The 27217-nt window shown below is 40.1% G+C and overlaps 1 protein-coding gene across 8 annotated transcripts in view, besides 1 other annotated feature; it reads left to right on the forward strand.

Moving 5' to 3' along the window:
• Positions 1 to 27217, forward strand: part of PCSK5 (proprotein convertase subtilisin/kexin type 5) — a 473167-nt gene that overhangs the window by 7998 nt on the left and 437952 nt on the right. The window lies entirely within an intron of this gene.
• Positions 20140 to 21339: an enhancer, noted in NCBI's record as "CDK7 strongly-dependent group 2 enhancer chr9:78532862-78534061 (GRCh37/hg19 assembly coordinates)". NCBI's record gives its function as "activates an origin of replication core promoter dependent on BRD2, BRD4, P300/CBP, MED14 and CDK7 cofactors, with strong dependence on CDK7, by STARR-seq in HCT116 cells {active_cell/tissue: HCT116}" and the evidence as "EXISTENCE:reporter gene assay evidence [ECO:0000049][PMID:35650434]".

Raw genomic sequence — 27217 nt, forward strand, 5'->3', positions numbered from 1 at the left:
ATCAAAACTTAGTCTTTTAGTTTGACTCCAGTGTGAGTCTGTATAGAAGACTAGTGGGAAGTAAAACTGACACATAATAGGCCCATGAGGAATATAGATGGGACCTTTTTCAGGTACAAGTGTCAAAAATCAACCCCAAACTGCTTAAAACTAACAAACAAGCAGATAAGCGTACTGGGAATTTGTTAGTTTAAACAGATTCACATGCCTTTATATGCCTTTCTGAAAACAGCTGAACACTTTTTGTAATCAGACCTTACCTGATCTGCACTTTCTTCATGGCAAAACCTACCCTGACCTAAACTGACATTAATTAGGCCCTTAGTTTGTTTCATTGCAGAAATATGAATTGAATTTGATTGCAGTGATGTTGTCCTTGATCCAGACAGAGGTGTATGTAATATACTCAAGTATGTGCCTCATTGTGCTATTCTCACCTGAATAATTCTGAGTTCTGAAACATATTTAAATCCAAGAGTTTCAAAAAAATGATTGTGGGCCTGTCCAGCTGAAAAGCCAGAGGTAGTGCTAATGTCAGCTGTTTCTCCTTTTCCCTCAGAAGGTGCTTTCTAGTAAGCAGCAAAGTTCATATGCTGCTTAGTACCTTTCTTATCCAGTATTGAAATTAACACCTGAAAAAGACTCCTGATCGTTGACTGGGGTCGTATCCCCACATGTGGGCCAATCACTTTGTCTAGGAGGGTAGCAGTATTTTGATGGGTGAGCTTGGGTCACATGTCCTCCCTCAAAGGGAGATGTTGACCTTTGATGGGCAGTCCACCAGTTGGGTAGGGACAGTTCCCCAAAGGAAAGTGGGATGCTGTTACTAGAATAAGAGAAAAGAGATGTGGGATAAGAAAAAAAAAAAAAACCCACTAGAGATCAGGTTTTATAGGCCCTAAATGCCTAGGCTAGAGAGTTTCAACCTTATTATTTTGGATAAGTTTATATTGAAGTTTATATTGAGGATCTCTGAGAAGGAGAGACAACAACCCACTGATTCTACCAGCACAAGTCTACCATGTAACATACAGATCAGAAAACATTCTCTGTTCTTGAGAAGCTAGAACATTTTCACCTATAATTATCATTTAGTAAGACAAATAGTAATGGACTTCTGGGTAGTATAGTATGGTTCAGTCACGCCTTGGGAGAGTCTGCTGGTAGCAGTGTGCACAATGAACTGAATGCATAATGGCAGAGTGGTTATTGTGTTGGCAATGATTATTGGTAATGGAAACAGGAGCCATGACAATGGAAAGATTTGGAAGTTCTTGTAGAGGATGATTCAATAGGGCTTGGTAACTAAATGGAAGTAGGGGATGAGGAGGAGGGAGAATGTGAAGATAGCTGTAAAGTTTTAGCCTTGGGACCAGGAGAATGGTGGACTGTTGTGTAGAATTAGGACAGTCTGCAGGATCATTTTGAGAACAAAAGAATAGGCTCAGCATTAGTTTATACTTAAGGTATACAACATGATATTTTGATATACATATACATAGTGAAATGATTATTACAGGTAAGCAAATTTACATATTTATTGTCTTCCATAATTACCCCTCCTTTTTGTGGTAAGGGCACCTGAAATCTAGTCTCTTAGCAAATAGTCAATAAACAACACAGTATTATTATGTTGTTTATCCCTAGTACTCCTGCTGCACATTCCATCTCTAGACAAATTCATCCTACATAACTGTGAGTTTGTACCCTTTGACCTACATCTCCCTCCTCCCTCTCCTCACCCCGGTAGTCACTGTTACACTCTGTTTCTATGTAATCAACATTTTCTCCCCTAAATTCCACATATAAGCGGGATCATCAGCATTCTTTTTGTTAGAAGATAGAAGGACATGCTTATAGAAATGTCTAGTAGGTGGAAGAGCATTTAGGTTGGGAAAGAAGTATAAATTAGCACTCATCATCAACCTCAGTATAAAGGAAGCTTGTGGAAGGGCTTAGGATTGTTAAGAGATGAAGCATGAAGAGAGGGGCACTGAGAAGAAAAGGCAGAGAAAAGAATGTCTCCACTTAGGGAGCGAGGGAGAACGGGAGTAGATGAAGGGGCCAGGAAGATGGAGAGAGCCACCAGAAGAAAGGGTGCCTCCTTTAGATGGTGTGCAGTAGTGAGAAGTGCTATAGAAAGAATCCAGGAGGATGTGTGTAAAGTGATAAGGAGGCTTCCAGTGCTCTTAGCACCAATGCTTGATTGAATAGTGGAGTGGAAGTCAGGTTGTGGGGCAGTAGAGAAACGGAGTACAACAGTTTTTCATTGGACATCTGCTTCTATCCACCTGCCAGCCTCCATTCGCTCCCTTCATCTCTTTCTTGCCAATGTGCTGGAGTAGTTAGGATCATAGGTTTAGAATTAAAAGGGTTTGAAACCTAATACTGCTCCTTCCTAGCTGGAGGACCCTAGATAAGTGTCTTAAGCTCTCTGTTCCTCAGTTTCTTCATGTGTGTAAGGGATATAATAACAAGAGTGATCCCCGCATACAATTGTTGTGAGGATGAGTTAAAAGTAGCTAGAATAGTATCTGACACACAAATACTCTGTAAATGAGAGTTATTATATCTTGTTTAAAATTTTTTTGGCCAGGTGAAGAGGCTCATGCCTGTAATCCCAGCACTTTGGGAGGCTGAGGGAGCTGGATCTCTTGAGGCCAGGAGATCAAGACCAGCCTGGGTAACATGGTGAAACCCTGTCTCTACTAAAAATACAAAAATTAGCCAGGTGTGGTGGTCTGTGCTTGTAGTTGCAGCTACCCGGGAGGCTGAGGTGGGACAGTTGCTTGAGCCCGGGAGGCTGAGGCATCAGTGAGCCGAGATCATGCCACTGCACTCCAGCCTGGGTGACGGAGCGAGACTCTGTCTCAAAAAAAAAAAAAAAACAAACAACTTTTTTTTTTTTTTTTACCCTGCAGTAAATCGGTTCACCCCATTTGTTTTTTACCTCCCCATTCACTCTCAAACATGTCCAAGTTTGGAAGATAAATGATGTAGTCATCCCAATTGTATGTGAATTTGTGTGTGTGTGTCTAATTACACACCTATCCTTCCACTAGCTGGTGAGCTTTTTGAGAGGGCAGTGCCTCATTCATGATTGTATCCCCAGCACCTAGAACAGTGTGTGGTACAGGAGAAACACAGTGAGCACGTGGGCAGGGGGCATGCAGGGTGTAAGTAAAGAGGGATAAAAAGTCCATCTGGAAAGGAAGAGAAACGTTGGTGCCTCAGACTAAAGAGGAAGGAAGGGCGAGTGGCGAGTCAGAGGAATTCCGCTGAGGAGGAAAGGAAGTATAGAGTGGCCTCAATCTCAGTCACTTAAAAGGATTATAAATCATTCTATCATAAAGACACATGAACACGTATGTTTATTGCAGCACTATTTACAATAGCAAAGACTTGGAACCAACCCAAATGCCCATCAATTATAGACTGGATAAAGAAAATGTGGCACATATACACCATGGAATACTATGCAGCCATAAAGAAGAATGAGTTCATGTACTTTGCAGGGATATGGATGAAGCTGGAAGCCATCATTCTCAGCAAAGTAACACAGGAACAGAAAACCAAACACCACATGTTCTCACTCATAAGTGGGAGCTGAACAGTGAGAACACATGGACACAGGGAGGGGAACATCACACACTGGAGCCTGTTGGGGGTGGCGGGAAAAGGGAGGGAGAGCATTAGGACAGATACCTAATGCATGCAGGGCTTAAAACCTTGATGACGGGTTGATGGGTGCAGCAAACCACCATGGCACATGTATACCTGTGTAACAAACCTGCATGTTCTGCACATATATCCCAGAACTTAAAAAAAAAAAAAAAAAGATGAAGACCACCTGTGGCAAGTTGGAGCAGCGGGAACTGGAGGAAATGGATGTCTGGATACTTCAGTATTTTGGAACACTTTTAGGAAATGCTGATAACAATTAATGATTGATGACTATATAAAAATGTACCAAATAGCAATGAGGTTATTTGCTGCTTGTCCTTAGCCATTGCGCAGTGAGTAGTGATTAAATGAGTGAGTGAAAAAAGAAAAAATGAACCAGTCTGTATTGTTTTGTGCCTTTCTCATGAATGTTCAGGAGCCTGAGATTAGAAAAGGACAAAACAGGCTGGGCGTGGTGGCTCACGCCTGTAATCCCAGCACTTTGGGAGGCCAAGGCGGGCAGATTACCTGAGGTCAGGAGTTCGAGACCAGCCTGGCCAACATGGCAAAACCCCATCTCTACTAAAAATACAAAAATTAGCGGGGTGTGGTGTCGAGCGTCTGTAATCCCAGCTACTCAGGAGGCTGAGGCAGGAGAATCGCTTGAACCCAGGAGGTGGAGGTTGCAGTGAGCCAAGATCGCGCCACTGCATTTCAGCCTGGGTGACAGAGTGAGACACCATCTAAAAAAAAAAAAAAAAAAAAAAAAAAAAAGAAAAGGACAAAACAAGGAGTTTGAATTTACCAGAGTAAGAGAGAAGGCGAAAGAAGACTCTGGGAAACTAGGAGGCAAACAGTTCTTGAATATAAAAGGTGCCACTTCTGAAGTGGTTGACCATAGTCTGTGAGGAAGGTGGTGGGGCCAAAATAGGACTACTGGACCAATGGAATAGGGTGGCCATAGCGGCTTTACAAACAAAAGAAAAATGGATGGCCAGCTTGATAAGAGTGGTAGAAGCAGAAAGATGAGAGCCAACCCAGAGAGTATTTTTATTTTTTTGTAAGCTACTAGCTAGAGTTGTTCTGCTCAATGATAAGGTCCAGGGTATGGAGATGCAGGTGAGACGACCAGGCAGAGAACAGGCGAAGTCTAATGGGTTGGAAAGAGTCAAGAAACAGAGGCTGAAGTATTTGAGGGGTTATCAGTGCGTGGAAGAAGAGGATTCCAAGCAATTTGTGCTGATATGTCCACTGGGCAGATAAACATGAAGCTTACCCCGTATTTCATTCTCTTTGGATAAATGTAGGTATTATCTCTGCTTTACACATCTGTGTGCTATTATTTGCACTGCAGGTCCCTTACCAACTTAAGGGATAAAGACAGACACATGGATGATTGCTTTCAACTCCCATATTTGGTTTAAAAACTGAAGATCGTGTTGAACACTGAATATAGAGGGGACAGTGGAAACAGAGAATGTAAAACCAGGACACAATATTTAAGGATGATTTTTTAAAATGGTCTATACTATCTCACATTTTAGGTTGACTTTTAGCTTAGGTTGTCACATAGTCTACTTTCCATCTCAGTATTATAACAGATAATTATAACTATAATTTATTCACATTTCATGTATTCTGCCCTTTAAATACGTATTTTATATAGTACAACAAAGCTGTGTTCTGAACATGCCTTTCATGTATTCTTAGCCTAAACTTTACTACCTTATAGGAATACAGATAAGTTTTAAAATGAGTCTTTAAAATTATTTATAGATTGCTCTATCACATATAACATTTTTAGATTGCTCTATATAATAGATTAATCTTGTTTACATTTGTATGGTAATCTGATTGTTAATTGAGGTTAGCATCACAAAAGAAGTATTTAAGTTTCTATTTTAATTTTCTATACATTATCTGAGAGGTTAATTCTATCCTGGGAAAATTACATTTTGGATACCATGCCAGCATTGAACCTAGTTAAGATTTGAACCTAGTTAAAAGCAAGTCTTTCCTTGATGCCTTTCCCAGTATAACAAACTGTTTATATTCTGTCTCTCTCTGTATGTGTATGTGCATGTGTGTATATATGTGTGTGTGTGTATATATATATATAAAATATATATTATATATATATATTATATATATATATAAAATAAGTATTTAAGGGATGATATTTTTGTAATAAGTTCTTAAGGTCTGGTATTTTTCTATACTGAGAAGCTCTTACAGCTGTAAAAATATACCAGATCTCTGTATATCCATGTTCCCATGCTTGTACCTTGTTTTCTCTGGTGGGAGATCCTCAACCAAAATAAAGCTGGGTAGTCTGAATACAGAGCAGGGAGGGGAGATCATCCCAGGGCCTATAATTTTATAAGCAAATATCCATAATGTAAATTTAGAAAGATACTGCCTACTCATCCTGTGCCTATTCTAGTTTCATTTAACTAATATGTTTGTGTGTCAGTGGGAACCCCATTCATCAATTTCGAAGTTTCTCAAAGAAAACAAAATTGTAGGCCACTTAGGATTTATTACAGGCTAGCTTCCAGCAAGACCTTTTTTTCTTTATTTTTAACTATGGGGCGTCTTTCAATTTGGTGCTCACGGACCAATTTGCCAAATGCTGCATTCTTTGACTCATCACGGGATGATGTCATTGCTCCTGGGCTGGTTGGACAATGCTGGGAACCAGTGAAGGAAACTCAAAGCTGAAAACAGGTGACTTGAGTCACCCTTCTAGATCCAGCCCTGCCATGAATTTGTCACATATTTATGAGCCAGTCACAGGTTTCCTTTGTCATAAAAGATTAATTCTATTCATTGTTTTATTTAAAAAATAGTTGTTGAGGGACACCGTGAAGAAAGTGAAAGGACAACCCACAGAATGGGAGTAAATATTTGCAAATCATATCTGAGGAAGACTTGTACCCAAAATATGTAATGAATTCTCACTCTCAATAATAAAAGACCAATTTCTCAATTAAAAATGGGCACAAAATATCTGAGTAGACATTTTTCCAAAGCACATATGCAAATGGGCAAGAAGCACATCTAAAGATGTATAACATCATTAGTCACCAGGGAAATGTAAGTCAAACCTCAATAAGCTACTGGTTTACACTCACTAGGATGGCTATAATAAAAAAGACAGATCATTACAAGTGTTGATGAGAATGTGGAGAAATTGCAATTCTCCAATTTACAATGGGAATGTGCTAATGGGAATGTAAAGCTGTGAGACCACTTTGGAAAACTGTCTGGCAGTTCCTCAAAAGGTGAAACATACAGCTACTCTATGACCCAGCAGTTCTCTCCTAAATGTATACCCAACAGAAATGAAAACATTTGTCCACACAAAATCTTGTAGATAAGTGTTCATGCCATCATTATTCACAGTAGCCAAAAAGCAGAAACAATCCAACTGTCTATCAACGGATAAATGGATACAATTTGGTGTATTCATATTAATATTATGGAATATTTTTTCACAATGGAAATGAAGTTTTGATACATGCTACAATGTAGATGAACCTTGAAAATATTATTCTAAGTGAAAGGAACCAGTCACAAAAGGCCACATTATTGTATCATTCTGTTTATATAAAATGTCCGGATTTAGCAAATCTATAGAGACAGAGGGTAGATTTGTGGTTGGGTAAGGCTGGAAGGGTTGGTGGGAAATGGGGAGTGGCTGCTAATAGGTATGAGATTTTTTGGGAGGTGATGAAATGTTCTAAAATAGATTGTTGACCTGGCTCACTGGCTGTTGCCTGTAATCCCAACACTTTGGGAGGTCAAAGTGGGAGAATCACTTGAGGCTAGAAGTTCAAGACCAGCCTGGGCAATAAAGTGACACCTTCTGGTCTCTACAAAAGAAAAAAATAAAAATAAAAAATTAGCAGGGCATGGTAGCCTGTAGTCCCAGCTACTTGGCAAGCTGAGGCAGAAAGAGGGCTTGAGCCCAAGAATTTTGAGGATGCAGTAAGCGTAATGGTGCCACTGCATTCCAGCCTGGATGACAGCAAGACACTGTCTCAAAAAATAATAACACTGATTATGGTGATTTTTGTACAACTTTGTAAACATACTAAAAACAATTTAATATTCTGCTTGAAAGCAGGGATCCCTAACCCCCAGGCCATGGACTGATACGGTCCGTGGCCTGTTAGGAACCAGGCTGAACAGCAGGAAGTAAGGGGCAGGTGAGCCGCTCCACTTCCTGTCAGATCAGTGGGGCCGGTAGACTCTTGTAGCAGGGCGAACCCTGTTGTGAACTGTGCATGTGAGGGATCTAGGTTGCGTGCTCCTTATGAGAATCTAACTAATGCCTGATGATCTGATATGGAACAGTTTCATCCCAAAACCATTGCCCCCTCCCCTGTCCATGGAAAAATTTTCTTCCGTGAAACCGGTCCCTGGTGCCGAAAAGGTTGGGGACCACTGCTTTAAATGGGTGATTTGTTTGGTATGTGAATTATATCTCAGTAAAGCTGTTAAAATAGTTATTGAGTACCTATTTTATCAGCCATTCTACTAGGCACAATACAATTACATTTGTCTGCTCACACGGTGCTTGCGTTATAGTGGGAGGAGACAAGCCATAATCCAGTAATGACATGAGTAAAATTATTTCAAATTATGATAGGTGATGTTGGAAAGCAACATGTTAGTAGACTAAAGTGTGACCAAGGGTGAGAGAACTCATTTAGTTGGTCAGGGAGACTCACTGAGGAGGAACACTTGAGCAGATACCTATTTTTTTTTTGAGACAGAGTCTCCCACTGTCGCCTAGGCTGGAGTGCAGTGGCGCAATCTCGGCTCACTGCAGCCTCCGCCTCCCGGGTTCAAGCAATTCTCCTGCCTCAGCCTTCTGAGTGGCTGAGATTACAGGTGTCTGTCACCATGCCCGGCTAATTTTTTGTATTTTTAGTAGAGATGGGGTTTCTCTATGTTGGTCAGGCTGGTCTCGAGCTCCTGACCTTGTGATCTGCCTGCCTCAGCCTCCCAAAGTGCTGGGATTACAGGCGTGAGTCACTGCGCCCAGCCGCAGATACCTAATTTTAAGAAAGCTCCAACCACATGGTAGTCTGGAGTCAGATGAGGTCTTTGTAAAGGAGATGGCAAATGCAAAGGCCTCTGAGGAAGAGAAGGTCAGAACAGTGTAAATGGAGACTAACAAGGAAGAAGAGGTGGAGCTTGAGATTAGAGAGGATCATCTTAAGGCTTAATTTTGGTGATGTCATTTCCCTGTTCAGAAGCCACCAGTAGCTCCCATTTGCCTATTGCATTACAATGGATTCCTTCTCTGGGCTTTTAAAGGCCTGTACCTACTTGTCCTGAAATAGTTTTTCCATCATTTCTCCTACTCATTCCCTTGATAAAGCTAGACCTTCCTATTGTTCCCCAGATATTACGCTCAATGCTTTCCTGTTGCTCTGTCAGTCTTTCCACCTGAACTATTCACCTGATCCATTGCTCTTCTGGAAATTTTATCTCTTCTTGAAGGCACCTCTCAAATGTCAACTCTTGTCTATGGCCATACTATGCTGAATGCGCCCTGTCTCATTAAATATCACCTCTTTACCTATATTTTGCTCTGGAAGTATACGTAAAATGTAGGTATAGGTAAAATTGCTCTGATTTTTAACTTCATTGACTTGCATAATAGCTTGCCCAGAATTCTCTTAGGGAATTAAATATAGTTAAGTTTGTCCTTTTTTTTTTCGGTCTACAGGGACTTAATTATTACTCTGTAGCATATAGCATAGTGTCTCACTGTGTATACTTAGTCATTAAATATTGGTTGAATTCTAAAGTATTTTGCAGACATGGAACGTACGTAAAATGTAAAATAATGTGAACACTGGAGAAAAAGTACAAAAAATTCTATATAGTCAAGAATGAAATCAGTAGTGCATTGTTTATTCTATAAAGGGGTATGGTAAAAAGCAGTGTTCTAGGATTGATGAGTCATTTGTGTGTGGATTCGAAAGTCCAGGCTTCCTGGGAAATAGCCTAGCCCTTATCTTTTAGTGTTTCAGACCTTGGCATCATTAGCAGGGTCATTCTTCTGATTTTGACTTCTATGAGCATTTTTGGTATGAAAGTCAGAGTACACAGTGTGACAGCACGCACTCCGAGAGGCAAGTCCCAGATTATCCTAGGACTATTATTGCTTCTCTGTGGATCTTGGTGAACCCTAAGGATCCTTCTGGCTGTGACCATCTCCTTGGGGTGGCAGTGAAAGTCTTTTGTCTATTGGAGCAGTGGGAAGAACAGCACAGAGTTCCCTAATGAAGAAACTGGTCAGTAGTAAGAAACAATTTCCAATCACGGGCAAATTTCACTGTTTATGTAGAAGCAATGGAAGTAGCAAAAACAGTCAGGTTTGGTGCGCGTGAAAGGTCCTAAAAGAAGGGTCCTCTGTATAAAATAAGCTGTACACTCTTGTGATGGTCAGAGGCTCATGGCAGGGCCTAGCCGGATTGGCCATTTAAGTGCCAAAACACTGAAATTAAATCCAGAGAGAAGGAGGGATTGCAGACTCTAGAACAAACAGTCATAAATTAAGCCCTGCAGGTCAGTCCTTAAGGAGTGGCTTCAGAAACATCCTTGGAGATAGGAAACAAACTCAGGACAAATAGAACAAGTATTTATTGGGAGTTAACTCCCTTTAATGATAAAGGGAACATTCTCTTGGTTGGGTGACATGGCCAGAAGCCAATCTCTCAGTAGAGATGAGTCTCCCCATTTGACCTCTCTTCTTTTATCAGATCCAAGCTGCAAACCTCCAGGCCTTCAGGCTTGGGTAGATAGAGGGAAAGGTGAATTGTATTTTCTAGGTCAGATGAAGGAGCGATGGAAAAGCTGAGCTTTCTCATGGGATATATGGTTTGAAAGTAGAGCTATTCCTTCCTCACAATTGTGATGGGCCTACTGTAGGTAAGGCCTTTGTCACTCTTATGTGGATTATTGTGCAAGTCTTACCCTGTCCCCACTGCCTCCCCCTTTCCTCTGGTCAAAAAGAATTGCTTCTTCCTCTCCCTTTTTCTTCTCTTTCCTCCTCTTCCTTCTTTAATGTTCTCAACATCATTCAACCTAACTATTTTGCCATTCTGTGCACATGAACTGGCATGTCCTGCTTTTCTGCCTCTACTCATGTCATTCTCACTGCCGGGACATCCACATGCCCAGATCTCACTATGTTCTACAAAGCCTTTCTCAGATGTCATTTCCTCAAATGAAACTTCCTATGGCTAAAACCTCCTTCGTTTAAACTCTCATTGAACCTTGTATGCTTCTTTTTATTGGCACTTGGCATTTTCATCTTACATGCCATCTATCTATCTATCTATCTATCCATCCATCCGCCATCCATGCATCCTTCTCTTTCTATTTATCTATCTATCTATCTATCTATCTATCTATCTATCTATCTATCTATCTCTCTATCTCTCTCTCTGTCTATCTATCTATCTATCTATCTATCTATCTATCTATCTATCTATCTATCCGATTTTCTCTCCTCTGCTAGATAATAATCCCCCTAAACATAGGATTTCTGGGCCGGGTGCAGTGGCTCATGCCTGTAATACCAGCACTTTGGTAGGCCGAGGTGGGCGGATCACCTGAGGTTAGGAGTTTGAGACCAGCCTGGCCAACATGGCGAAACCCTTTCTCTACTAAAAATACAAAAATTAGCCAGGTGTGGTGATGCACACCTGTAGTGTCAGTTACTCTGGGAGGCTGAGGCAGGAGAATTTCTGGAACCCGGGATGCAGAGGTTGCAATGAGCCAAGATCGCGCCACTGCACTCCAGCCTGGGTGACAGAGTGAGACTCCATCTCAAAAAAAAAAAGATAGGATTTCTGTGTGGTTCACCTTTGTGACCCAGTTGGCACCTGGAAGAGTTTTCTGTAGTTAAAATGCCCTCAGAGCTGGGTGCGGTAGCTCACGCCTGTAATCCCAGCACTTTGGGAGGCCGAGGCGGGCGAATCACCTGAGGTCAGGAGTTCTAGACCAGCCTGACCAAAATGGAGAAACTCAATCTGTACTAAAAATACAAAATTATCCAGGTGTGGTGGTGGGTGCCTGTAATTCCAGCTACTTGGGAGGCTGAGGCAGGAGAATTGCTTGAACCTGGGAGGCAGAGGTTGCGGTGAGCTGAGATCGTGCCATTGCACTTCAGCCTGGGTAACAAGAGCAAGACTCCGTCTCAAGAAAAAAAATGCCCTCAGAAAGATTTTCTAAAATGGATAAATGGAAGTGGGCAAAAACAGGCAGGGAGTAAATAAAGCCCGCAGCAGTTGTTAGTACTGTCCACTGAATGTTTCTGGTTCTCTCCCTTGGCTGTGTTATAAGATTGAATTTCCCTATATTTGGTGTTGAGCATGGCCAGGTGACTTCAGTGGCCCAGTGAAATGTGAGCAGAAGTGACTCGTGTCCCTTCATTTACAGCCAGTGAGTGACTTGTGGTGAGCTGCATCTGCCCTGTGATTGGCAGAGCTCCAGATGGTGGATGCTTCATTAGTCTGAGTCCTTGAGAGATGCGATGAGCAGCACTCCCAGCCCAGTGCACGATAGATATATAACATGAGCTAGAAATAAACCTTTTTTGTTTTAAGTCACTGAGACTCATGGGATCAGTTCACTCTAGTGGAACCTAGTCCATCTCGATAAACACAAAAGGCCAAGCTCAATAGTTTTCTCCTTAGCCTTGTGTGCAGTGTAGACTAAGATATGTGGTGAAAGGAGAGAAAAAGATTGTGATACTCTGGATAAGAACCCCGTGATGTAATAGGAAGACCCTAGTGAACTCCAGCATACATTTTGCTGATTATTCAATTGGTAATTATGTATATCCAAGAAAAAAATCAGAAGCCACTTATTAGTTATTTCCAATGTGTGTATGTGATTCTGTTGTTTGGAGATTTGCATTTCCTGAAAGAAACCCTAAAGGTCCTAGAGCTTAATTGCTCTCAGAGTTGCTTCTTTGTCCTCACATTATTTATTGACCTTGCCGGTTCTTTGCATGAAACTTATTCTATGAGTTCAGATAGACCTGTTAATCACTGGTAAGCTTCGTTAGAAAATACAGAGTTCTTTTTTTTTTTTCTCTTTCCATGAAGACAGAAACTTAATGTGTTGCAGGTTGTCTTTTATTTTTCCCCATCAGATGAAAATAGCATGTTAATTTTGTACTTCAAAAAATTGTTTAATAGAGAACTCTCTTTCTGCTTGCCAATAGCACTTGCTTGTGCCTTCGCTGAGGGCCACATTGTGCTTCCAGAATTATGACACCCACTGCTGCAGAATCCACTTAAATTTGCCTCTCCATTCCAAAGGACATTATGCTTTAGTTGTGAGAGAACTGGCTTCACAAACATGTGGGTATCGGTTCACTCACTGATTTATGTGATGTGGACACAGTGGGGAACATCTGAGATTTAAAATGTGATGGTCTGAATTTCCAACTGTTGAAATGAATCCAAAGCAGCAGATTTTTCTTCTTTGGCAAGACAGAATTGAAGCAACATGCAGTGATTTGGTTTGCCGATTTGCGATCTGTTAAAAATCTGAATAGCTTAAAAACAGGGAGAGTAAAGGCTGTGTAATGTGAAAAATATTCTAAAGGTCACCTGGTTGTAAAGTCTTAGGCAAGTTAGGCATCATGAAACAAGAACTATTTTGAAATAATTGATACATTGCGTGTGAACATATAGGTTTTTTTTTTTTTTTTTTTTTTTTTTTTTTTGCTAAGCTATTCTATTGCCAAAGTAGTTAAAATCTTATTTTGTTCAACCTAATTCTGAAAAGGCAAAGGTTATAGTGAACCCAGCAAGTCTTTCTCCCACTTTGTAGTCTCTCACCTGTGGAAGTCATGGCTGGCATTTATTCATTTCTTTCACTTGTGAGTTTTCCCTTTGCCATCGTTCTGTCCTTCAACATTCATTGCAAATATTTTACAGTGCCCACACTATGCTGAGCACTGTGCTAAGCCCTGAAGATGCAGCAGTGCATAATGATCCCTTCGTTCTTGGAACTTATGTGCTCATCAGAAGAGTGTGCCAACTTGCTTAGAAATAAATCACCCGAAACTCAGTGGTTTAACACCACAGTCATTATTGCTTCTGAAGCTATGAGTTGACTGGTAGGTTCTTGAGTTGACTGCTGGGTCACCTGGGCCTGGCTGGTCTAGGATGGCTTCACTCACATATCTGGTGGTTGGTGCTGGTTGCTGGTGCTGGCTTGGGTTATGGAGAGTGGTGGGGGACCTGGCCATTGTGTCTCATTATTCAGCAGGCTAGGTATCTTCCCAAGTGACAGGAAGGTATCCCAGCAGCTTGAGAGAGTAGTCTCAATGTGCAAAGTGCTTTTCCAATTTCTCCCTTTGTCTTAATATCCCATAGGTCAAACCAAGTCATATGACCAAGCCTAGCTTCAAGAGGTAGAGATATATATTTCATCTCTTGATAGAAGGAGTTGCATAGAATTTGTGGTCGTATTTTGCAGTCTATCAAAGGAGATTTCTAATAATCAAATGAATAAGAAACAAAAGGTAAGTCAGATAGTGGTAAGTGCTATGGATAGAGAACAGGAAAGGAGAAAAGGAGAAGAAGAAAAAAGAACAACAAAAAAGCAGGGAAGAGGGGAACAGAGACTGGAAATTTTTTTTTCGATTGTAAACAGGCTTAGGAAGTCTTCGTGGAGAAGGTGGCATGAGCAAATTTGTGAAGAAGGTGAGGGAAAGAAATGAGCCTTAAAGATGCCTGGAGGAAGCACGTTCTGGTTGAGGGAACAGCCAGTGCAAAGGCCGTGGACAGGAGAGAACCCTACTATGTTGGAGGCATGGCAAGAAGCCCGGTGATTCTGAGTGAGCAAGAGAGTGGTAGAAGATGGGCTGGAGAGGCAATGGGAGTGGGTCGGAGAGATGGGTTAAATCTTGAAGGTTGGTGCTTTTCACACTTTCATGTGCACCTGGGGATCCTGTTAAAATGTGGATTCTGGTTTAGTAGATCTGAGATGGGGCTGGAGATTCAGCATTTCTAACAAGCTCTCAGTTGTTACCGCTGCTACTGCTGCTTGTGGTCCTGAAACAATGCTTTGAGGAGGAAGCCTATAGGTCTTTGCAGACTTGCATGCACAGTCAGTACTAAGTGAGGAGAGAAGCCATTAGACAGCTTTGAGCAGACATGTGACCCATTCTCTACTACATGATAACAGAAGGTAATTGTTGAGAATGTGTACATACATACACATAGCATAAAGAATGACTCTAGTCTGTAGTGTGGAGAACATTGTCTGTTCAGCTTGCCGTAGTTTCAGTCATCTGAATATCGTTTCCTCTACAGAAAGCTATTTTCCTCTGCTCTTTTTGTAAATGACAAAGGGACCTAGCTCTGGACACCTCCCCATCCCACTCTCATACCAGATCCTTTCTAGAATGAACCTGCTCTGTCTCCTTGCAGTCGCTCAAATCCTGATTTTTTGGAACTCTTCTTACTTAACCTTTTCTTTCTCTGATCCTCAGCTCCCTGACTCAGGTGGCTGTCAATCCTGACTACTTGTTTCAAACAACTAGAAGCCTTTAAAGACACCTTCAGAGAGCCCAGTTGATTGGGTTTGGGTGGGTTCTTAAATAAGCAGCCAGGATTCAGAACAATGACTGGGCACATTCTTCCTCAGCACCTGGTATGCTGCTGGCTGTTCCCACAGAGCTCAGAGCTTCTCTTTCCCAGAGGAGTCCACTCTCGCTCCACTCTTGTCTCAGTCTTTTCTCTTTTCATTACCATCAAAGTACCTGAATCATTAGCTTATTTTCAACCCTATTGCATTTTGATGCGTCGGTAGTCAGATTTTGCTTAATTACAGTCATTTGCACTTGAGGTAGGGGATGATCTTTACATAGCCACACATATATGAGTATTTAAATATTTGTTGATATTTAGTGTCACGTATTTGTGCTTTTTAAATGTAATTGATTCTGTAGAGGCCCCATCCACACAACAAATCTCTAAGTAAACTTCAGGGTCTTACCCAGGGGATACTGGGAACATGGGCTAGAAGATCATTTGGCTCCAGGCTGCATATTTATGAGATACCTTCCAATGAGTTTTTAGATATAGTTTTGTGCCCTGGCTGGATTGGAATATAGTGTCCATTTGAAAACTTTCATCTCATGTCTCATTACCACATCTCATTGCTTCTAGTACACTAGGAGCTAATACACATTGTGCATTCCAGAACTATCTGGTGAATAGCATAGTTGTATTTGGAGGTTACATGTAAATACTGAAATAAGTTACAGATTTTGGCATTCCTTTTTTTTTGTAATACAGTAGGAACCCAATGCAGTAATACAGTAATTCCTACTGTATTATTAAAAAAAGGAATGCCAAATTATGTATATAGAAGTAGCCTGGGATCTATCTCAAACTTTGCAAGGCCCTTCTGAAACCCTATGTTATTCCTGAAGATAATGCTTTTTTCTCCTCTTTTAATCCAGCCTGTATGTATACAGGTCTTATTTATAGGTCCAGTTTGTTCTTAAATGATTTGTAGTTTTCTAATCATTGGAGGAAATAAAGAAAAATGAAAGGCAGTGCAAAATGTTATCTACAAATCGTGTCACAAATTCGCTGTATCATCATGTACCTGGAATGGCTTGGCTGTGCATCATTAACTTGTAACAGATTTAAACCAATTATTAACTCAACCAGATAGATTTACTTGAGTGTTATCATAAAGGGCTCTGAGATGTGAGAGTATGACGAAGTTCCATAAAATTTATTGCTTGAATCTTGTTGCATCCATTGTTCCATTAAGGCACTGCCTTTTGCCCCCACAGCACCACGTCAGATTTGGTTGTTACTTACTATTAGGAAGAGTGTGTTTAAATTAATGGTAATTTATTTGTCTTGAAAGAAATGCTACTTCCAACAGTCCATGGCTTTAGAGGAGCCCTAATACTAGTCTCCTAAAATATAAATGACCTTTAGGTAGTTTTAGATGACCCAATGACCTAAAACCCAATGACCATTGGGTTTTAGAGTTGGGAGCAAGAATGTCACCTGGCCCCCTCATTGTAAAAATGAAAAAACGAAGTCCCCTTTCAGTAGGGCAAGAACACTGAACTGGTATTTAGCAGACCTGAGTTCCAGTATCTTCAAGTTCTATTATGAAAGCAGCTCCTGAGAGTTGCTTCATTAAACTTTTCTATTTCTCAGGATCCTCAGTAGGATGTATATATTTCTTTAATAATTCTTGCTAATAATTTTTATATTTATCAGGGCCTGTGTTTCTTTAGGAGATATATGTGTGAGGAAAATTGGTCAAGGGAGTTAGCATGTGTAGGTATATGGCATATAAGCAAATAATTCAGTTTTAGAGGTAGTATTTTTTCCCCTACTTCTGTGAAAATCTGGCTTTTACACCCCTTTCATTAAGCTGCCTTGATAAGAAATGATAAATATTCCACACTTTGATACGGTAAAAGGTGTGAGGAATAGTTTACAGTTCTACCTTGGTGACTGTTTAGGAATAAGGTAAATGATTGATTGAACGGCTAAAGCATGCCCATCTTGTTTTGTCCGTTGGAACCACAGAACTCTTTCCTAGGGGAAGTTAGAAGGCTCATTTTGGGGAGGCATGCATAGTGATGACTTTTCCAAGTAGGAATCTGACCGTGTTATAATGGGGATGCCTTTACCCATGACTGCAGTGCTCAGGGCTGGCAAGCTAACCTTGGCTTTCCTTGGCTGATCCTGACTGTATTATATGGTTTGTGCAATTGTGTGATGAGGAGTAAGTTGCTGCATCCATCATGTTGAGCAGCCTGTTCTGTTTATGGGTCTGTAGAACTTATACAGTAACCAAATCAAGAGAATAGAGACATAGCTGCATATCTAATGCAGTCACTGTTAAGAATCAAAATTAACATGATACATTTGAAATAGGAGAAAGTGCTTGTGGGCTGTGGGAACCATTCCCCACTCTTGGTCTTTATCACTTTAATTTCTTGAGGCTTTAAACCTATTTCACAACTTAGTGACAGACCGTTGGCATGTTAGAACTAAGAAGGAGGAAAACTTATGAAGCCCTGTTCTTTCACTAAATTACCTGCGTGTATTTGAACAATGCAAATAAAACAGGCAATATCCAGTGTTTGGAATATTAAAGTAATTCATGGATTAATTTTTAGTGGTGTAGAAGCCTCTGATTAAAGCTTAATATATATTAAATGCACTTTCTTCATTTATGCAGATATGAGGAATGGTCCAGATAAGTATAAGTCTTGAGTAACTACAAAAATCTAGAAATGTTGCAGTGATTCTTTTGGTAAAACACTGTATTGAGTTTATCTTTTACATCAACAGTAAGTACTTAGGAATGATGGAAGTGAGATACTTAAAACTCAATCTAGTGCGGGAAGTTACATATTCTTAAATATCACTTCTAACTTTCTATTTTGTGGATACAAACATTTACTTGGTAGGCATAATGGTTATTTAAACTCTTCTTTGGGCTTATTTGACATATATTTAAGACTAAGCAAGCTGCTGAGATAAAGGTCAGTGGACTTTTTATGTTAAGAAAGAAAATTAAAAGCTTGGCACTTTAAAGCCAGGCTCAGGAATTGTCGAGATAAAGATATTAATCTTAAAGTTAATCAGGTCAGGGTTTAAACTTTAATAAAAATTGAAAATATGACTCCAAGAACGAATATGTACTTTAGCATTTAGCCTATTTAGGTTTAATATAGTATGGTGAAAATAGCACTGAGCTTGGTGTCGGAAAAATCTTGTTTCTTTCTCTTGCTATTAGTATAAACTTGGGTAAATTACTGAATTTAGCGGTGCCTCAGTGTTATTATTTCAAAAATGGAGATTATAACTTATTCATTCTGTAAATGTTTACTGGGCAACCACTCTATCCCACCCACTGTGATAGGTGCTGGCAATATAGCGGTGTTTTTAAAGTGAGTAAGGAAATAAACAGCTTGACCAGATAGAAAGTAACTGGGGAAGGCAATTTAGCAGAGAGGTCAAAGAAGACTTTGACTTCGGAAGAAGTGATATTTGAGCTAAGATCCAAAAAACGAGAAGGAAGTAAGAGGCAAGAGATTGAAAAAAAGAGAATTCCAGGCAGATGGGGCAGCAAGTGCGAGGGTTCTGAGGCTGGAAGGAAGGCCAGTGGGTTGGTGCGTAGTGAGTGAGGGTTAGGGAGAGGTGTTAGGGGATGATGTTAGACAGGTAAATGGGAGCCAGATATGATAGGCCCTTGGGTCAAATAAAGGCATTTTTTATCTTAATTTAAAAGTAACAGGAAGTAATTGAGAAGTTTCCCAAAGGGGTGATATTACCTTGCATAAAACAAAGTAAGGGAAAGCTCTTTAAAGATGGGAAAAGCAGGGCCAGGCGAGGTGGCTCACGCCTGTAATCCCAGCACTTTGGGAGGCCAAGGCGGGTAGATCACAAGGTCAGGAGTTCGAGACCAGCCTGACCAACATGGTGAAACCCTGTCTGTACTAAAAATACAAAAATTAGCTGGGCATGGTGGCACGTGCCTGTAATCCCAGCTACTCAGGGGGCTGAGGCAGGAGAATCACTTGAACCTGGGAAGTGGAGGTTGCAGTGAGCCAAGATTGTGCCACTGCATGCCATCCTGGGCAACGAAGAGAGACTCCGTCTCAGAAAAAAAAAAAAAAAAAAAGATGGGAAAAGCATATGAATATAAGCAGTTAATATTGGTGTTACATAGGATAAGACAGTAAGACAAAGACACATGGCCTGATGAGTTATTTATCCTGTTTACAAGGTTGTAAAACTGTTGAAGTGGGCAATCACGTATGATGCTGAAACACACAGATAATCCAGAACACTTTGCATTTTTATGTGTTTTGGGAACAAGTGTGTATGAAGGTGAGAGGTAGCAAATCTATCTTGGTAATATTTTAATTAGACTGATATTTAAATTTTTGTTGCTTTGAGCATGCATCTGCTGAAGAACCGTGTGTCACCTGGGAGCTAACATCAGATTCAATATTTGCCCCGAGGCAGCTCAAAGAGTAGATGGTTCATTTATGCAGAATCAAGATTTATAGTCCGTGGATATCATGAGCAGATAGTATCAGTAAAACAGAACCCCAAGAGGAGACACTGATAATTTAATGCAAATAAAACCTTGCTTTACACATTGCACATATCTGCTGATATAATTGTAAAGATATTTGGGATTACTTTATTCATCTTGCTTGTGTTTGATGAACTCCTGTTAAGCCTGATAAGAATAACATTTTTCTACTAAGATATCTGTTGAGATACCTAAACATTTTACTTGAAAAGAGGAAGAAAAATTTAGAAATTATTATTGGTCCTTCTATTTAGGAAGTAGAAGCTAAGAAGAGCATTAACCTAAAGTAAAATATGGCAGGACTTAATGGTTATGGGAAGACAAACTTTTAATTTTTAATAGTTACAATTATTAGTATGCATGTCACCTGGGAATTTTTAGTTCTGAAATTTTACTGGTTATGAGGTGAACTGAGTTTTCCTCAAGATAGTTTCTCATAGGTAACTATACTTCTTCTAATACTGTGAACATTATTAATGTTTTTCATTATCTTCTGGAGTTGAGTTTGGATAAAACTCTTCTTGAAATCCCATTTTATTCTAAACATAGATTGGGCCCTTAGCGTTATAAAAGAATACAAATTAATATAGATTGGTTGGGTATATGCAGGGTATATTTGTGCTTCATCTTGACTGCACAGGTCAGGATAGACGATAATGTGCTTGCACCCTTTGTTGAATGTTGCTTCATCAACACTCTTGGTGACCTCCTTCTCACCTCTTGGATTGAGCTGGCTGAGCAGGTGATGACTAGATTCTGATTCAGTTAAGGTGGGGCTCATTAACGTGCATTTCTGCCAGGCTCATTGATGCCAATGCTGCTGGTCCAGTGCTTCTGGCCCCAGGGCCACACTTTGAGAGCCACTGATTTATAGATTTTTATTACTTATTTCAAGACATTTATATTAGGTGTGGTATGGCTGATAGCACTTAGGAGACATCAAACTATATACACCTTCTCATCTTTGTTTCAAAATTACCAGCCATTTTTTTTCAGTTTACAGTAGTTCCAAATGACTCCATCATGTAGCATAATCGTTTGTATTTTGTTGTGACGAAGATGGTCATGTTAGTGGAAAGCAGCACTTTACTAGAAATGCTGAAATATTTCATTTATTTCATAAAAGGAAAGCTTTACATATTGCAAATGATTCTCAAGGTTGCTTTTTGCACTGTATAATTCCAAATGTTGATGTGGTTGCTATGACTTTAGGAAAGTTCTTTAATTGAATAACATCAATTTGATCATATATTTTAATCTAAACAAATAACTTCTTAATGTTTTGCCTTTCCTTTTGCATTACCTTTCCAACTAGCTCTCTTGATGACAGGGCTTTTCTCTGTAGAGTTAAAAAAAATCAGGTTTATTGAGGTATCATTTGCATGCAGTGAAATTCACTGTACAGTTCTGTACGTTTTGACAAATGCGTATGGTTGTGTAGCCACCACCATAAGAAACAGAAAAATTCCTTTGCCTCGGAAAATTCCTTAGTGCTGCTATGTGGTCAGCCTTTTGCCTCACCTCTCACCTCTCACCCTTGGCAGCTGCTAATGTGTGTTCTGGTGTACCTTGCCTTTCCAGAAGGTCATATAAATGGAATAATACAATAGGCAGCCCTCTGAGTTTTGCTTTTTCCTTTGTTGTAATGCATCTGAGATTCATCCTTGATTAATTAATCAGTAGTTTGCTCCTTTTTATTGATGAGCAGTATGACATTGTATGGATGTACCAGTTTATCTTTCCACCAGCTGTAGGGCATTGGGTTGTTTCCAGTTTTTGGTGATTGACTAAAGCTGCTCTAACAGTCATGTACAAGTTTTTGAGTGAACGTTAAGTTTTAATTTTTCTTGAGGAATATACTTAGGAGTAGGATTTCTGGGTTGTATGTTAAGTGAGTAATTTTATGTGAAACTGCCAAACTGTTTTCCAAGTATTCCCAACAATGTATGAGTGTTCCACTTACCCCACATCCTCAGCATCATTTGATATTGCCATTTTTTCCTTTTATTTTTATCTGATTTGATAGGTGTTTTTCTGTGATGTCTTTAATTAATACAACAAGCCAATAGCTGCCAACAGTGGCTGAACCTTAGGAACTATAAAAATAGGACCCATCCTTACATCTGGTTAGAAGCCTCACCCTCTGCCATTATCCACAGATGCTGCTGCTCTTCCCCTAGTCTGGGCCCACTTTTGTGGTCGCCATGGTACAGGTGCTAACTCTACCAGTCCTTAGAAGGACCCAGATGGGAACAAGTGAACAAAAAGCATCTCTGGGCTGGGTGTGGTGGCTCACGTCTGTAATCCCAGCACTTTGGGAAGCCGAGGTGGGTGGATCACCTGAGGTCATGAGTTCGAGACCAACCTGGCCAACCTGGTGAAACCTCGTCTCTACCAAAAAATACAAAAATTAGCTGGGTATGGTGGCACATGCCTGTAATCCCAACTACTTGGGAGGCTGGGGGAGGAGAATCACTTGAATGCGGGAGGCAAAGGTTGCAGTAAACCACTGCACTCCAGCCTGAGAGACAGAGTGAGACTCCGTCTCAAAAAAAAGAAACATCTCTGAACTGAACAACCATTAGCAAAGATATAGGGGGAGCTTCTCCTCCTAATAGGGTTTTAAAACTCAGAGTGACAGGGTCATAAGCTGTCCCAAGCTAGTCTCTATCACATGTTTTTTGCTTTGGTTTGTTTTTTAAGAGGTGGGGGTCTCTATCACCCAGGCTGGAGTGCTGTGGTGATCAGAGCTCAATGCAGCCTCAAACTCCTGGGCTCAAGCGATCCTCCTGCCTCGGCCTCCCAAAGTGCTAGAATCTATCACATACTTTTAATTTAATGCTCACATCTTCTCTACTCCAAATATTCTCCTTTAAGAATAAAATGGGTTATTTTAAATGCTATAAAGCTCAAGGCTGGGTGGTATGGGTCATGCTTGTAGTCCCAGCACTTTGGGAGGCCAAGCTGGGAGGATTGCCTGAGCTCAGGAGTTCGAGACCAGCCTGGGCAACATGACAAAACCCTGTCTCTACTAAAAATACAAAAACTAGTTGTGGCATGGTGGCACACACCTGTAATCCCAGTTACTCTGGAGGCTGAGGCACAAGAATCACTTGAACCTGGAAAGCGGAGGTTGCAGAGAGCCGAGATTGCACCACTGCACTATAGCCTGGGTGACAGAGTAAGACTCTGCCTCCAAAAAAATTAAAAAATAAAATAAAAAAACAAATAAAAAAATGCTATAGAGCTCAAAATAGCCTCTGTTTACCAGTATGAAAAAATACTGGCAATTCTGAATCTGATTATACCATACACATTCAAATACATATTTTCTAAAATTTTTTTTGAGGGGAGAGTTTTTGGAATCATTAATGGAAGGCATAAAAGAATGAAACATGCCAGTTAACATTAGTTTTAAAATAAAAAAGTTGTTAGAGATTTTTTTCATTTAAGCTTATTTTAATTAACTAGATAGGAATATTTAAATGGAGATTGCAGGATTCAGGGTAAATGTTTCTGTTTCTGCCGAATGAAATGGATGAATTAGAACAGTAGTTCTTCACTTTGGCTGCATATTAGAATCACCTAGATGTTTTCAAAAAGAAAAGTACCGATGCCCTGGCCTTATCTCAGACCCTTAAGTCAGAATCAGAATCTCTGGGGCAGGTGTGCAGGGGTCAGGGGATTGGTCCTTCGGCATTAGTACTTTTTAAAGTCCCCGTATAATTCTAATGCATAGACAACATTGAGCATGACTGGACCGAAAGCGAACATATACTGTTCTAGGCAGTAATTCTAGCAATGTTTTCACCTATAAAAATATGTACTATTTTCTGTTTGTTTCCATCTATGTGGCAATGCTTCCGGTTCCCGAGATGATGGTGCAGAAAAGAGTGAAGACCCCATTTTCAGACATGTGTTCTTTCTCTCAGCCTCTCTTGGGCTCTCTATTTCGTTTGTGTGTGTGTGTGTATGTGTGTGTGTGTATGGGAAATGTGTGTCTTAAAAACAGGTGGGATAGCTTAAATATTAAACAATAATCTCTGTAAGTCTCTCCAGAAATTACTTACAGATGGGTTTTGAAGAACTTTTCATAAGAATGGCTGACTATAAATAGCAGTAATAAATGCTCTTATCTGAGGACTAGAGTACATGGGTTATTTTATATTAAGGATATAATTACTCATTTTGGACAAAAATGGATTGAAGAAAATAAAAGCGTAATGTCATTTCCAGGTCATTCTTAAATAACTGTTATAAACATACTGTAAGTTGAATGTTGAACCCAGTCCTTATCTGTAGTGTGCTGATATGAAAATTTATTTGAGTACTCTTGGGAGAAATGTTCTAATTCAATAGAGGACATAGGTTTCAAACTCACAGTTGACACCAAGGGGTTGGCAGAATCAAGTCAGGACATTATCCTCATGTCAACAGGGACTGTGTTTTGTTCACTCTGTCTGCAGTGTCTTTGGATCATTGCTCGGCACATAGTACACACTCAGTTAATAGATGAATGTCTGATAGTCTGTAAAAGCATTAGTAGGGTACAAAAATGAAATTCAGCATTCAACAGAAATATAGATTTCTGTCATTTACATATACATTTTAAAAATTAAAGTACAGACTGGAGGAGAACCAAGTTAAAAAGAGTTCCCAAGGATTATTCTGCTAAAGTATTCTGATTTTAAGCTACTTTATTAGAAGTACATTGCCAAGGGAGGTCATGGTATCATGGACTCTATCCCAACTCCACCTTACCTGGAGTTGAGATGTGTTGTGTTCTAGGCTCCAGGATTTCTGGGGAGACGTTACAGATGGCTTGTCTAGGGGAAGTAACCTGCAAAAGCTTGTTACATGAGAAAAAAATGGAGAAACTTGGAGGTTTGGCCAGAAACAGGGAAGACCCAGTAGGGATGTGTTGGCTGTCTGCCATGTAGAAGAGGGATGATGCCATTGGGTTGTTGCCTTGAGTAGTCAGTGGACCTAGGCTAATTACTGGGAAGAACTTTTTAACAAATGGGCTGCCCAGAAAATGCAGCACCCTAGCCAATTGGAAGGAAGGATTTCTGCATCCAGTGGGGAAGGGCAGATTAAAATCTTATGAAGATGTTTTCCAACTCTGAGATTCTATGATTTGCTTTGAGGCAAATCTCATGTCCCTTGTGAATAGTTGGGCAGACCATCAGATTTTCACTTGAACCTGGGAAAATCTGGTGCTTATTCAACTTGCTGTGTCTTAAGTTTCCTTGGTGAAAGTGTTGCATCTGTTTCTTACCCGCTCAGGATTCGTAATCAGATGTTTTTGATTACCTGCTAGTAAGGTAAACTACGAGGACTTAAATTCTTCTGTACTCTATTCAGGTGGCTTTAGAATAAACTAATGAGGCCTTATATTAGTGAGGGCGAGGAGGTGAGACAGGGTGGGGATACTATGTTAGTGTACCCATAGAATTGAATGTGGCTCTACAAAACCCTTTGAGTAAGTTTTAAATAAAATCAAGGTGTTGTGCCTGGAAAAAGCATAGATTTTTGGAATCAGGCTGACCTGGTTTCAAATCCTGGCTTGGATACTTCTTTACTTGGGCATATTACTTAACTTCTTTTAGGTTTAGAGTCAGTTTCCTTGTCCATAAAATTAGAGTAATTCTCCTTCCTTTGGAGGGTTGTTGGGAAGATTAGACGTAACGTAGGGAAAGCATTCAGGAAGTGGGAATGTTTATTAGTAGTCATGTCAATTACACAGTGGCTTTGAATAGATAAGTCATTTACTAGTTCTATTTTTCTAGGCAGATTCCTTCATTTTGGGCTTCAGTTTGTTTTGAGAATTAAGATCAAGATCATGTGAAAAAAAGTGCTTAGCAGAGTACCTATATTGCTATAGCTATATTGGTATAACTATTTGGAAGCTGATAACCAAATACCCAAGGATTCCTGAAAATTATGAAGAATAAAAAGGAACCAAATTCAAATAGTCTTTCTAGTTTAATTTCCTTTTCTTTTGGGTGTCTCCTGAGGTACTAGTTCTACCTTGTGTTAGGTTCCTATTGCTGCTGTAACAAATTACTACACAGTTAATGTCTTAAAACAATGCAAATTTATTAACTTGCAATTCTAGAGGCCAGAATTCCTAACCTAAAATTGAGATACTGGCAGAGCTGTGCTCCTTCAGGAGATTCTGGAGGAGACTTTGTTTCCTTGCTTTTTCCAGCTTCTAGAGGCTATCTGCATTCCTTGGCTTGTGGACCCTTCTACCATCTTCGGAGCCAGCAGCATAGCATTTTCAAATCTTTCTCCAATCTCTGTTTCCATCTCTTTCTTTCTGACTTCTCCTTTGGTTATCACATCTCTTTCTCTAATTGCTGCTTCCTCTTTTCTTTATAAGGACCCTTGTGATGATATTAAACCCCATTTCAAGATCCTTAACTTAATCACACCTGCAAAGTCTCTTTTGCCATAAAGGTAACATATTCATAGGTTCTGGAGGTTAGGGTGTAGACATTTGGTGGGGAGCACTAATCAGCCGACCACATACCTGCATTTCATAGAGATTAGATATCTGAAATCATAGAGATTATACATCTTTCCTTGAGCACCCTGATTTAAAAATATCTATACTGTAGTGATTTTGCTCTGAGTTCATGCCCTCTAATGCCATTCTCTGAAGAGCTCAAAGCTGAGTCTGAACCTGAAGGAATTTAGGAAGGAATCAAGGATACTCTGAATGATTGACTTGAAACTAAAGTCTAAAAAAAAATAGCTTTTTTGTCATTGTGTGGCATTCTACTGCCTGATGCAATAGCATTTACGAATCTAGGTGTCAGGATGTTGTGCTTGTTTTGGAGTCAGGCTGACATGGTTTCAAATCCTGGCTTGGACACTTTGAGGTGAAGGTATACCTTAAAGATACTTTATTGCCGGCATGGAAACACTAATGTAAGTTCTCTGGGGTTAGCGGTATAACCAGGTATGAAGGCCAGGATTCTTGCCCCCGCCCCCCACTCCCAGAGAAAAGGAATGAGCTCTCTCTTACTCTTGGAGATACTTGGCAATTCTCTTTTTGCATCTGCTCAAAGTAGATGGAAATATTCCTAGAAAATATCCCCTCTCTGTACAACTCTTAGAAATACAGCTTTCTGGACAGCGGTTGAGATCTCTGGGTAGCTGTAGTTTTAAGTTCATCCTTAGAAACTTTATATTTCGAACATCTTTTAGAGTAGTTAGGAGCATATGCTCTGGAATTAGGCTGCCCACCATCAACCTTAGCTTCATCCTTTAACTGTGTGGCCCCGGGCAGGTTCTTACACTCTGTGAGCCTCTGCTTTCTCATGTGTAGACTAGGGATAATGATAACCTGCTAATACTGTTGTGAGGCGGCAGTGAAGTAATGGCTGGCTTGTACTCCATAAATATT

Source organism: Homo sapiens, chromosome 9, assembly GCF_000001405.40.
Source record: "Homo sapiens chromosome 9, GRCh38.p14 Primary Assembly".
NCBI lineage: Eukaryota > Metazoa > Chordata > Mammalia > Primates > Hominidae > Homo > Homo sapiens.